This window comes from Homo sapiens, chromosome 15 (assembly GCF_000001405.40).
Source record: "Homo sapiens chromosome 15, GRCh38.p14 Primary Assembly".
Taxonomy (NCBI): Eukaryota; Metazoa; Chordata; class Mammalia; order Primates; family Hominidae; genus Homo; species Homo sapiens.
In genome coordinates, this window is record NC_000015.10 from 25,162,281 (window position 1) to 25,176,140 (window position 13,860).

The 13,860-nt window shown below is 46.3% G+C and overlaps 1 long non-coding RNA gene, 3 other non-coding genes and 1 pseudogene across 4 annotated transcripts in view; 4 read left to right on the forward strand and 1 right to left on the reverse strand.

Moving 5' to 3' along the window:
* SNHG14 (small nucleolar RNA host gene 14) overlaps positions 1-13,860 on the forward strand; it is a 595,855-nt gene that overhangs the window by 338,673 nt on the left and 243,322 nt on the right. The window contains exons 62-68 of the long non-coding RNA NR_146177.1: positions 8,256-8,386; positions 8,768-8,812; positions 10,168-10,298; positions 10,670-10,714; positions 11,478-11,623; positions 12,533-12,590; positions 12,959-13,003. This is a non-coding gene — a long non-coding RNA (small nucleolar RNA host gene 14). The remainder of the gene's footprint in view (positions 1-8,255; positions 8,387-8,767; positions 8,813-10,167; positions 10,299-10,669; positions 10,715-11,477; positions 11,624-12,532; positions 12,591-12,958; positions 13,004-13,860) is intronic.
* Positions 4,903-7,514, reverse strand: DMAC1P1 (DMAC1 pseudogene 1; annotated as a pseudogene).
* Positions 8,443-8,524, forward strand: SNORD115-1 (small nucleolar RNA, C/D box 115-1). Its single transcript, NR_001291.2, has one exon. It is a non-coding gene; the product is annotated as a small nucleolar RNA, C/D box 115-1 (small nucleolar RNA).
* On the forward strand, positions 10,355-10,436 carry SNORD115-2 (small nucleolar RNA, C/D box 115-2). Its single transcript, NR_003294.1, has one exon. It is a non-coding gene; the product is annotated as a small nucleolar RNA, C/D box 115-2 (small nucleolar RNA).
* SNORD115-3 (small nucleolar RNA, C/D box 115-3) lies at positions 12,647-12,728 on the forward strand. Its single transcript, NR_003295.1, has one exon. It is a non-coding gene; the product is annotated as a small nucleolar RNA, C/D box 115-3 (small nucleolar RNA).

Sequence of the window (13,860 nt, forward strand, 5' to 3'; positions counted from 1 at the left end):
CACTTGTCAGTATGCTGTCAAACGAGCTAAGAACAAGTCTTATTGTGTGATCCTAATGCTATTCTAGGAAGGTGTAACCTTTTGACAGCTATTCTGTGGCCAGATCTTGACAGAATAAGTTGAACTTGACTGTCTCAGAGTGATTGAGGAAGACACTGGAGCATGGTCTAATTTTTGTAATATTCCTATTCCCAATGTTGACTGAATATTCATGAATATATTCTGTGTGAAAGACCCACAAAGGAATATAAAAGCATGTTCTACGGTAATCAACCCTCATGAAGCTTAGAGGCTTCTGTTTTTCGAAACATAAAATCAGCCCAAGTGGCAGAATTGTAGTTATTATACCAGCTGTTAAATTAGCCACCAGTTATAAAGCAGATATCTATACTGGTAATAACTATATGTTTGTGGTCTGTTATGTGACTAGCCAACTTTGGAAGAATAGATGCTAACGTCAATAGGAACTAAAATATTACATGAGAAGCTAATTTCTGATTTAGTAGAGTCATTCAAACTTCTCTAACAGATTTATGTAATTTATTGTAGAGCTCACAGTGGAAAACAAGATTAACTCTTTAAAAAGAAATTAATTTGCAGACCTAGCTGTGAAGGGCTTCTGACGTTTAGACTGGGGAAATCAAACCTCTATCACTTCTGTCCAAAACCTCCTATTCATAATTTCAGAAATAGCCAACTCTCTTAAGAATTAGAAAATTAGGAATGAAGGAGAACTAAGATGAACACCATAGGAAAATGAGAATTACATAATGAAATCTTTCCTTTATTCCGATTGTTATATGATTGAGTGGCTTTTTCATGCCACCAACAAGTTCGTTCAAGCAAAAGGAATATGCTGACAACTTGAAATCTTTGTAATAGCATCATATAATTCAGGAAATAATATGAAGATATGCTCTTTGTCAGAAAAATTCTTTCCTTACCTAAAATAAGTCAAGAAAGCCTACTAAGGCCCATGATACCTAGGATCTGCTGGCACAAGAACTTTATAGAACTTCCACCTTTAGAAGATAGTAAATATTTTTACCAGTGTTGTGTATTGGTGTCTGGATAGGCTAAAGCAGATGCTCAAACAGTGATCAAGCTCTTACTGAATCATATCATCTCAACCACTGGAATTCCTGAATATCTGGAATTCAGTAGGGGAATCATTCTGTATTTGTGGGAATTCGGGAATTTTGTAATACTCTACAAATACCAATAATTTACCTACCTGTTATCCCCAGTCTTCTGAACAAGTGGAATGAGTGAACCACATACCCTAAAGAATTATTTAGCTGAATTATTTAGCTAAGTTATGTAAAACCTTACCATCCGTTTCATTTAAAATAAGATTAAATCCCTCTAGCAAGCCCAACATTACTCCCTTTGAGTTTGGAAGGTCTACTAATCTTGGGCTTAAGCCTAACCCTTTCTCTGATACAATGGAAAATCCTCATGACCATATATGATACTTAAAGAGTTTGTGGGTTTCCCTAGGCTCACCTTGCCAACATGTGGCCAGATGCTGAAAAAGCCGCCTGGGGAAGTGTGTCATTGATATTGAACAGGAGATTCAGTCTATATCAAAGTGTTCTGATGACAGACTGTGACCACACTGGACAGAACCCTATCAAGTGTGGTTGAGAATTCATAGTGCTATCAAGATGAAGGAGAAACCCAAGTGGATACACGCTTCACATGTGAGACCAACATCCACCATCGAGTGGGGTATAATTCCCATTTAGGACCTTAAGGATAAATTCTCTAGATAGTAACCTTGAATAATATGCAAGCTAAAGAGAAAAACTTATTTGATAGACAGCAGGAGAGATAGACTGTTTTGTTATTAATACGTTCTTCTTAATTATTTTGACCATTATAATTTTGATACTTAGTTTGTATTAATTTTGATACTTAGTTTGTATCAATTGAACATAAAGCTTATTATTAGTCTTTCTTTTAAAAGTTAGTATCTCAACCTCAAGGAATTTTGTGGTAATTAAAAATTGTCCTGAATATGAGATCAGGACTTAAGAAACCCCTTTCTTTGTCATAATACTTCAAACTCACCAACTGGATGATTTAAATTCAGAAGACATGAAAAATTTCAAATCTTCCCACTGATTAGTCAATATTACAAAAATCTTAAATATCATCACCCTTTGTGTTATTGAAGATACTGATGAGAAGAAATTTTTAACTAATTAAGTTGAACGTAATTATATTCAAATTGAAAGTCCCTGAAGGGTATCACAAAACTCCAACAACTCTGTATCTTTTTTTTTTTTGAGCAGAGTTTCACCTTATTGCCCAGGCTAGAGTGCAATGGCACGATCTTGGCTCACCACAACCTCTGCCTCCCAGGTTCAAGCGATTCTCCTGCCTCAGCCTCCTGAGTAGCTGGGATTATAGACATGCACCACCATGCCTGGCTAATTTTGTATTTTTTGTAGAGATGGGGTTTCTCCATGTTGGTCAGGATGGTCTCAAACTTCCAACCTCAGGTGATCCACCCGCCTTTGACTCCCAAAGTGCTGGGATTACAGGTGTAAGCCACCACGCCCGGCCCAACTCTAGATCTTAAATAGCCATGGGGGTCCAATTTAATAAAGCTTAAATAGACACACAGATGAGAAAATATCCCAGCCCAAATGGTGAGGGTTAGTTTCTTCAAAACCCCCAAAACGTATCATCACCTAAAAATGAGCTTACCCTGTTTAGAACCTGGCAGTCTCCAGTCCCCATACTTACAAACTCGAGGATAATTAAATGGTCTGTATCATTTAATATTACAATAGCTAATGTGAGTAAACTGAATTCTACTTGTACATGATAGGCTTTACCACTATGAAATGTTTTTACACAGGGACTAAAATGGCACTATGATCAAACTGAAAGAGATTTCTTTTTTTAATAGATGGGGTCTGGCTTTGTTGCCTACACTGGAGTGCAGTAGCACAATCATAGCTGTCTATCGCCTGTAACTCCTGGGCTCAAGGGCTTCCTCCGTCTCAGCTTCCTGAGTAGCTGGGACTACAGGGACATGCCACCATGCCTGCCTATTTTTTTTTGTAGAGTCAGGGTCTTGCTCAGGCTGGTTTCGAACTTCTGGCCTCAAGTGATCCTGCTGCCTCGGCCTTCCGAAGCACTGGGTTCGCAGACATAAGCCACCATACCTGGCCAGAGATTATTAAATACAGTATTAGGGGGAATAAAACTAGGACTACAATTGTAAACTCTTCTGATATAGAAACAATTACTGATAAACAGTGCATTGGACAATTTGCAGAAAGATGCAAACATGATAGAATCAAAATCTAAACAAGATATGACAAAGAAAAACAAAAATGGAATTGGGAAAGCATTTGGAATTGGACATCTGGTAATAAAATTCTATTGCAAAAAAATATATAGTAAAGAATTTTCAGAAGCCTTCACTTGCATTAGTGCACAACCACTGGTTATTCAACAACTACAATGTATACTTGCTGGTACTGAAGTACAAGATTATACCTACTCAGACAAACAATTAGGTATTGGACATACTACTGTCTATGTAGAGATTAAATGATAGTGTAAAAAGGTTGATCATATTATAGGTAAAAGAGCTGAAATCTGGCATTGCAGATTGAAATTTCTGAAAACTGAAATAATAAAACTAATTTCACTAAAGTATGTACATTTTCTTATTTACATAGTTTATAATGTGTTATATAATTCATGAATCTTCAAAAGAAATATACTGAGCTATTCAATAAAAATTTACATTACAGCTTTAGGCCACCAAGCCCCATCTATTGATTATGTACTTGGTGTAAATTGGCGGGGGGAACAAAACAAGAGTGAAAACTGAGCCTCAAAATACAAAGCATGTAGCAAAACAGACTACTAAAATTATTCTCAATTTCTAAGCCCATTATATGATGCAGGAGAATTCTTATGTGTAGGTAATAAAGAATCTGTTCAAATATGCATCAGTGGTATGACAGTTTCAAATAACCCACTGAACTAGGAAATATTCACCACCAAGGAGGTCAGGTATACTGATTTGGTCAACCTGGATATTGACATGGGATGTTCTTACGGATTGACAGCTCCACTTGATGCTATCCTATCACAAAATATTATTACCTGATGTTGATATAATTAACAAGTCAATACAAAAAGTAAGGTCTCTCTACAAGACAAGACTAACATCTCTGTAATATAAATGGGACTCTGAGTGTAATAGATTTAGGGTTTCTGCAAGAATTTTGAAAGTTAAGGATCCAACGCCTGTAATCCCAGCACTTTGGGAGGCCGAGACGGGTGGATCACGAGGTCAAGAGATTGAGACCATCCTGGCCAACATGGTGAAACCCCGTCTCTAATAAAAATACAAAAAAAAAAAAAAAATAGCTGGACATGGTGGCACACACCTGTAATCCCCGCTACTCGGGAGGCTGAGGCAGGAGAATCGCGTGAACCAGGGAGGCAGAGGTTGCAGTGAGCCGAGATCGTACCACTGCACTCTGGCCTGGCAACAGAGCGAGACTCTGTCTCAAAAAAACAGGAAAGCAAAAGAAAAAGTTAAGGATCCTACCAACAAAATTGGAATATGAGACTGAGGAAATTCCTATTCCAGCTAAACCCAGAATTGATTATGTTGATGAACACATGAATTTCATGTGTGTGAAAACATATGAACTCCTCATTGTCAGTCTAATGAGAGTGAAAACAACACATCGAAGATGCGGGGAGACGACAATACAGAGTGGGCTCATAACTGCATTCTAGATACTGGGATTACTTTCCATTAAGGTATATAATTTTAGAATATCTCACAAATAGCCCATGCAAAATCCTGCGGAAAGGCAACCATAAATATAGAGAGAATATGTAAAAAAGTGGCATGGTCTAGTATATGCCAAACAAGGCAAGGGTATACAAAAACCTCAAGGTCCCAGTATGACAAATCATGCTTGTATTGCACACCCATTAAAAAGTCTTCTAAAAAGTTTTTTTAATGGTGTGCAGGCAGGTTTATTCAGAAAAAGCTCGGATTCATACTTGTAAAAGTCTGAGAAAAGCATTAAAATGCTATTATGATACAGTTGACCCAAACAACACAGGTTTGAGCTGTGCAGGTCCACTTATCTGTGGATTTTCTTCTACCTCTGCCACTGAGACAGAAAGACAAACTCCTCCTGCTCCTCAGACTACTCAGCATGAAGATGAGGATGAAGACCTTTAGGATGATTCACTTCTTCCTAATGAATAGTGAATGTATTACTTCCTTAATAACGTTTTTTTTTCTCTAGCTTCTTGTAAGAATACAGTATATAATATATGCAACACAAAAAATACGTGTTAATCAACTGCTTTATGTTATCAGTAAGGCTTCCAGTCAATGGGAGACTAACTACTAATTAAGTTTTTGGGGAGTCAAGTTATATGCAGATTCTCCACTGAGCAAATGTTCAGCACTCTTAACTCCTGTGGTGTTCAAGTGTCAACTGTATATATGTTTAAGAGTTATTGTTTACCCAGTAGATCAAGCCAAGACCAAGTTAGGTTTATGTGTTTTTGGCTTAACCTAAGAAAATGTTCAGACTAAAGCAGTCCATCAATAGAACAGACTGCCTTTTAAACCAGGGAACAACTTGTCTTTGTAGGTATTTTAGGTATATGAATGACCATATGTGATCTGCTTTGGGTCATCTATGGTCCCTTCCAACTTAAAACTTCTCTATTCATGAACATTGCATAACTGAATTGTGGATTTCATATAAATAATATCTTGTTGCCTACTTTAGGTTTGAAATGTTTTCCTTCTCAGTTGCATAGATATGTATAGCACCATCCCCACTATGAACTCTCATGTAGAAAATACCAGATTCTAAAGTCATCTGTGAGGCTAAATGTCAGACTTAGGCACTTCCACATAATGCTGCAAAAAGCAACAGCTTAAAGGTATTACTTGCTCAACATGTCATTCCAAACACATACACTATGATTAGCAGCTGAATTTAACAGTATCTTTCCACTTTGAAAAACACTTTATATACCTTTACAAAGAAGCCATAGTATCTCAGGGTAGAAAAACTCAACAGGTAGAAAACATGGCCTTCTCTTAGAAATGAGCTACGTAATTTTGAGTACTTATCTCAAAATCATTGCAGAAACATATCTAGTGCTTATGGAAAAAGAATCAAAAGATCTTTTTTTTTAGCTAAAGATTTTGAGTTTTTCTTGTGACATTTAAGTCTTTTAATGTATGCTGATTTTTATGATTATCTAACTGTTTCATAATGGTTATTCTTGCCTCCATGAAAGGGAAGACTAGAACAAAAACCTGACAAGAACAAGTTCTAGCTCCATCACCGACTTACTGAGTGACCCTAGGCAAATCATGTGGGCTCTTTCTTGTGTTTTAAGTTTTACCTCCAATGAAGTAACTGCCTCAGACTAGCTGTGAAGCTCTCATAAAGTGATGGATTTGAAAATGCCTTGCAAAGAATGAGCAGTTAATACATAGAAAGTTTCATGTACTTCCGTATATTGCATGATGCCCACCCAGGGTTAGGTTGATAACAGTTGTTGATCCAATAATGAAAGAAATAAAAAGAACTCTTTAAAATAACGAAGTAAAATAGCTAATTTTCCTGTTGTAGTTTTAAAAATTATATAAACTATATAACTAAACATATTTATGTTTATTATATATAATATGATATGCAATTACATAAGACATTATTATATAATGTTTTTATATAATGCTTAAGTAATTAAACAATTATATTTAAATATAAGTTATACTTTCCTTCCCCAGATAAGACAAAGAACCTGTTTACTTCTCTGAGGGATTTATTGGTTCCTGTGAAATCTGTGGAGGCCGCTAACACTCCATAGCCAGAGAATGACAACATATGATTTTCTTTTCAGTCTTGTAGTATCCACAGTAGTGATGTCTGTCCATGTACAAGTGTCTGTCCAGGACATCCATTAAATTCCATGCCTGCTCTGTGTGTTATGAGGGCAGGGACAGAAGACAGATTCACTGGTGGTACTTTCAAACAATGTGGTAGGCCTTCCTTTTGGGGTCTGCCATGACAATGATACCCCAGGCGGCAATGCTAAGGCCCATGACCATCTTCATAATGGTCCATGGACCCGGGGGGTATCCCATCTTCATGGGCTTCTGTGCCACCCAGTACACATACCCGCCTGCCCCCATCAGCCGCAACCCAGAAAGCACGTGACAGCTCCAGCAGGTCTCCAACAGGTGGTGTTCTGCTGGTGAGGTCGGCGATCCGGGTGTAGCTGGGGTTGCAGGCTTGGCAGGCACGGCGGCGGTATCGGGAGGCACAGCGATCTTGAGGGACTCAAAAGGCTGGGACAACTGAGACCCCGTGTTCTGGAACTCGGCCTCCCTAAAAATTATGTTTTAAAAAATACATAGAATCGGTAAGATGAGGAAAAAGCATAAAACGGTCAAAAACACTGGGATAATTCAAGGTTCATTTTGACAATGGTAATACAAATAGAAAAACTGACAAAAAAGAAAATACATCTTACATTAGAAAACATACAAGAGTAGTTGTATACAAACGAAGACACGTACCAAAAATAAGTTACAAAATATGAATGCATATACATAAAAAATGTAGTTTCAAACAATTCAAAAGTAAAATGATGCAAGACATTAAAATATTCACAAACACGCTCGAAAAATAAGAGCTGACGCCCAAATTAGACCAGTTCAACGGAAGTGTGGGGTGTGGTTGGGGATCCGCCGCAGAAATCACGTGGCGCCCAGGCCAAGGCTGCAATTTCCCATGCTGCTTGGAGAAGACGCCTGGGAGGGCTCCCACCATGCCCAGGGGCAGGCTATGTGACTGCCCGGTCTGCAGCTGTAAGTGGTTTCTGGGCCAGTCTCTTTGTCTGGTCATGACCTGGTTGGTGGCCCTAGCTTGTGCCGAGTGGTCCCGGAGTGGCCCAGGGGGTTGTGTGTGGGGAGCCAGCGTGGGCAGCGGAGGTGCTCCCTGGGGCCTGCAGTAGGGCACAGCCTCTGCATCTTGTGTGAGCCCAGTGACCCGCCTGTCCTGTCCTTCCAGGGTTGGGTGGCAGGGAGGGCCAAGGGTGCCCTGCGTCCGTGACGGGTCAGCGTTTCCAGCAAATGGGTCCATGGAGGGAGAGCCTAGCTGAGCCGGCGGGCTCTACCACCTTCATGAGGTTCTGTTTGGACACCTGTCCTACTCCTGTTCCCCCAGATGGTGACCATGGAGGAAGACTTGTGTTGGGCCCAATGGCCCTCGGCCAGTGTCCGTCTGCCAGGTGCCAGCCCCCGGTGCGCTGAAGCTCAGGCCATTCCTGATGCCCTGGCCTCCTGCACTGAGCTGTGGTGAGCCCATCCGGGTCCTGCTGGATACATGGGCGGGGAGGGGGGTGCCCTGGGTTGTGTTGATGATGAGAACCTTATATTATCCTGAAGAGAGGTGATGACTTAAAAATCATGCTCAATAGGATTACGCTGAGGCCCAGCCTAGGTGAGAATTTTGGAAGAGGATGCTGGGATCCAGAGGCCCCCGACGGGGCCACTGTATTTCGGGCTGCAGACCTAGAGGCCCTGAAGGGCATCTGAAGGTGGCCCAAGCCTATCTCTGAGCAACCCCGTGAGGCAGTCAAGGATCCCTGTGTGGGCATAGGCTGGGGCTCTGGTTCCCTAGGGGCAGGGCATGTGGGTGGCTCCTCCCTGACCCCCATTCTCCCCTGTGTCTTTCAGTGAGCTCTTCTGCCCAGGCAGGCCCCCTGGCATTGACCGGCATAGGTGAGTGGATCCTGCTGGGGTCATGGGCCATGAGCCAGGCTGCTGGGGTCGCCAAGGGTCAGCCTTTGGGACAGGAGGGTTTCCTTAGGGAGCCAACCTGAATCCCCACTGGGGAGGGCTAGGTTCTCCAGGAGGGCAGCTTCCTTGGGAGTCTGACCCAAGGAGGATATCTTCTCTAAAGCCCTGCAGTGGTGAGGGTGGTCCAGGCAGCAAAGGGTTCCTTCAACCCCACCCAGGACAGCGCCCAGCTGAGACTCAGTGTGCAGGTCTGGCCATGAGGACTGCCCAGGTCACATAAGGGGGTCCATAGGAGCTCCGGGGCACCACAGGGGTCACACAGGAGCTCTCCTTCCCCAGAGAGGGGTGAGCGATTGGGCCTATGGGGTCAGGCCTTTGGAGATCAAGGATTGGGCCCCACCCATGAACCTGAATGGGACTGAGCCTTTGAGCAATGGACCATCCCAGTGGTGCCTCGGAGCCTAGTCGGGGGTGATGTGGCTTCAAGGGGGTTGGGTCAAGGCTGAGCTCTGGCCGGTGCCTGGTAGTGCTGCAGGCTGGCCCTGGGACTCGCTGGCTTTGGGCAAAGGGGCCAGCCCGTGTCCCACTGGAGGTCACCCCTTCCCTGTGGGCAACTAGCAGGAAGGGTGGCATCCTTAGCTGGGAAGGCCCACTGTCGAGGGTCCTGTCCAGGGAATTTGCCTCCCAGGCTTCTTCTGATCCACGGACTCACCTCCAGGGTGGTGGGGTCTTGGGCCCGAGGAAAGGAGAAGATACCCTGTGTTCCCCAGTTGGCTGAGTGTGGCTTGGCTCTGTGTTTGGGAGGTGTGTAGGGTATGAATGGGGACCCACCAGAGAACACACATGGCCCAGGGCCCCAGGTTATGATTTCCCATGCACACTTGGAGAGAACTCTGGGTGAGTGCCCTCCACTCCCAGGCACAGGCTATGCAACTGCCAGGTCTGCAGTGGCATGTGGCTTCCAGGTCAGCCTCCTTGGTTGGCCATGAGCAGGTTGGTTGCCCTGTCCTGTGCCCAGTGGTCTTGGAGTGGCCCAGGGGTCCTGCAGGGGAGCTGGTGTGGGTAGTGGAGGTGCTTGTGGGGCCTGCAATAGAGCGCAGCCTAGGTGCCTTGCACGAGCTCAGTGACCCACCTGCCCTGTCCTAGTCCTAGCTCAGTGACCCACCCCCGCTTTGCAGTGATGGGGAGTACCAAGCGTCTCCTGCGTCTGTGATGGGTCAGTGTTCCCATCACATGGGTCCATGGAGGGAGAGCATGCATGAGCTGGCACCACCCACCACCTTCCCACTATGGAGGCGTGAGGCCATGTTTGGACACATGTCTTCTTGTCCCCCCAGACAGTGAGCCTGGAGGAAGACTTGCCCTGGTCCCACTGTCCCTGGGCCAGTGTCCATCAGCCAGGTGCCCAGACCCCAGTGCGCTGAAGCTCAGCCCTCCCTGGCACTCTGGTCTCCTGCACTGAGCTGTGGTGAGCACATCCAGGTCCTGCTGGATGTTTGCATGGGGAGGGGCTTTCCCCGGGTTGGGTCGATGATGAGAAGCTTCTGTTTTCTTGAAGAGAGGTGATGACTTAAAAATCATGCTCAATAGGATTATGCTGAGGCCCAGCCTAGGTGAGAATTTTGGAAGAGGATGCTGGGATCCCCGGCAGGAGGGATTTTGGGCTGGAGACCTGGAGGCCCTGAAGGGTATCTGCAGGGGCCCCATCCCTGTCTCTGCACTTGTCTGTGAGGCAGCCCAGTTTCCCTGTGTGGGCTTCGTGTCAGTGCTCTGGTTCCCTGGAGCAGGGCACGTGGGTGGCTCATCCCTGAAGTCACGTTCTCCCTTTGTGTCTTTCAGTGAGCTCTTCCGCCCATGAGGGCCCCCTGGCCTTGAGCAGCATAGGTGAGCGGATCCTGCTGGGCTCATGGACCAGGCCACATGGGGTCACTGAGGGTCAGCCTTCAGGACAGGAGGGATTCCTCAGGGAGACAACCTGAATCCCCACTGGTGAGGGATTGGTTCTCCAGGAGAACCACCTCCTTGGGAATCTGACCCAAGGAGGACACCTTCCCTGAAGCCCTGCAGGAGTGACAGTGGTCCAGGCAGGAAAGGGTTCCATTAGTCCCATGCAGGGCAGCTCCCAGCTGAGACTTGGTGCTAGGGTCTGGCCTCGAGGACTGCCCAGGCCACATGAGGCAGGGTCTCAGGCTGCTATTTCCAGTGCATGCTTGGAGAGGGAGCCTGGGTAGGCCCCCTCCCTGTGCAGGGGCAGGCTGTGCATCTGCTGGGGCTGCAGCGGTGCCTGCCTTCAGGACCAGCCTCCTTGGTTGGCTTGAGCTGGATAGTGGCCTTGGCCCCACCCAGGGGTCATGGTGCAGCCCAGGAATTGCAGGGGAGCTGGCATGGGGAGTGGAGGTGCTCCAGGGGCTTGCAGTAGGGCACAGCCTGGGCATCTTGCTTGAGCCCAGTGACCAGCCTGCCCTGTTTTCCAGGGTTCAGTGGCAGGGAGGACCAAGGGTCCCCCACGTCCATGACTATCACTGTTTCACATGGATCCCATCAGGTGGGTCCATGGAGGGAGAGCATGTGTGAGTCAGCACCCCCTGCCTCCTTTCCCGCATGGAGGCATGAGGTTCTGTTCGGACACTTTTCCCTGTCTCTCCAGATGGTGACCCTGAAGGAGGACTTGTGTTGGGCCCAATGGCCTGGGGCCAGTGTCTGTCAGCCAGGTGCCCAGCCCCTGGCGTGCTGAAGTTTGGGCCCTTCCTGGTGCCCTGTTCTATCGGGGGAACCCGCCCCCAATAATTCAACGTAGGTCCTTTTCTATTTTCCCTAAGTGTCGGCCGGTCTGAGAAATAAAGGGAAAGAGTACAAAAGAAAGAAATTTTAAAGCTGGGTGTCCGGGGGAGACATCACATGTCGGCAGGTTCCATGATGCCACCCAAGCTGCAAAACCAGCAAGTTTTTATTAGTGATTTTCAAAGGGGAGGGAGTGTACAAATAGGGTGTGGGTCACAGAAATCACATGCTTCACAAGGCAATAAAATATCAGAAGGCAAATGAGGGCAGAGCACCAGGGCCAAATTGAAATTGCTAATGAAGTTTCGGGCACGCATTGTCATTGATAACATCTTATCAGGAGACAGGGTTTGAGAGCAGACAACCGGTCTGACCAAAATTTATTAGGCAGGAATTTCCTCGTCCTAATAGGCCTAGGAGCGCTTCGGGAGACCAGGGCTTATTTCATCCCTTATCTACAACTGTATAAGACAGACATTCCCAGAGCGGCCATTTTAGAGACCTCCCCCTAGGAAGGCATTCTCTTTCTCAGGGTTGTTCCTTGCTGAGAAAAATAATTCAGCAATATTTCTCCTATTCGCTTTTGTAAGAAGAGAAATATGGCTCTGTTCCGCCCGGCTCTCAGGCAGTCAGGCCTGATGGTTGTCTCCCTTGTTCCCTGAACATCGCTGTTATCCTGTTCTTTTTTCAAGGTGCCCAGATTTCATATTGTTTAAACACACATGTTTTACGAACAATTTGTGCAGTGAACGCAATCATCACAGGGTCCTGAGGCGAAATACATCCTCAGCTTACGAAGATGACGGGATTAAGAGATTAAAGTAAAGACAGGCATAGGAAATAATAAGAGTATTGATTTGGGAAGTGATAAATGTCCATGAAATCTTCACAATTTGTGTTCTTCTGCCATGGCTTCAGCAGGTCCCTCCGTTTGGGGTCCCTGACTTCCCTCAACACTGGTCTCTTCCACTGAGCCTTGGTGAGCCCATCTAGGTCCTACTGGATGCATGTGTGGGGAGGGGGGTGCCCTGGGTTGGGTCAATGATGAGAACCTTATATTGTCCTGAAGAGAGGTGATGACTTAAAAATCATGCTTAGTAGGATTACGCTGAGGCCTAGCCTAGGTGAGAATGTTGGAAGAGGATACTGGATGCTGAGGTCCCTGGCTGAGCTACTGTATTTTGGGATGGAGATCTGGTGACTCTAAGGGCACCTGAAGGGCCAGACCCTGTCTCTATGAGGCAGCCCAGGCTCCCTGTGCAGGCTTGCTGTTGGCACTCTGGTTCCCTGGGGTGGGACATATTGGTGGCTCCTCCCTGAGCCCTGTTCTCCCCTTGTGTCTTTCAGTGAGCTCTTCCACCAAGGAGGGCCCCCTGGCATTGACTGGCATAGGTGAGTGGATCCTGCTGGTGTCATGGGCCATGGGCCAGGCCACGTGGGGTCACCAAGGGTCAGCCTTCAGGAAAGAAGGGTTTCCTCAGGGAGCCAAACTGAATCCCCACTGGGAAGAGATGGGTTCTCCAGGAGGGCGGCTTCCTGGGAAACAGGAACCAAGGAGGACGCCTTCCCTGAAGCCCTGCAGGGGTGACGGTGGTCCAGGCAGGAAAGGGTTCCTTCAATTCCACCCAGGGCAGCTCCCAGCTGAGTCTCGGTGCTCGCGTCTGGACTGCCCTGACTATGTGGGGGGCCACAGGGGCTCTGGGGTGCCTTGGGGGTCACACAGGTGCTCTTTGTCCCTGGAGAAAGGTGGGTGATCAGGCCCATGGAGTTGAGCAGTGGAGATTCAAGGATTGCACCTGACACATGGTCCTGAATGGAACCCACCCTGTTGAGCAATGGGCCATCCCATGGGCCTCTTCAAGCCTGAAGAGGGGCGGTGCTGTTTCACTGGGTTTAGGTCAAGGCTGAGCTCTGGCCGGTGCCTGGTGGTGCTGCAGTCTAGCTGTTGGACTCGTGGGCTTTGGGCCAGTGGGGCAGCCTGCATCCCTCTGGAAGTCACCCCTTCCCTGTGGCTGGAAGTTACCCCTTCCCAGTGGGCGAATGTGGGGAAGGGTCACCTCCTGAAGTGAGAAGGCCCACTATTGAGGGTCCTGTCCTGGCAATTTGCTGCCCATGCTGCTTCTGAGCCATGGAGACACCTCCAGTGTGGTGGGATCTTGGGCCCAAGGAAGGGAGAAGACACTGTGCCCCCCGATTAGCTGAGTGTGGCCAGGCTGTGTGTTTATGAGGTGTGAGGGGCATGGATGGAA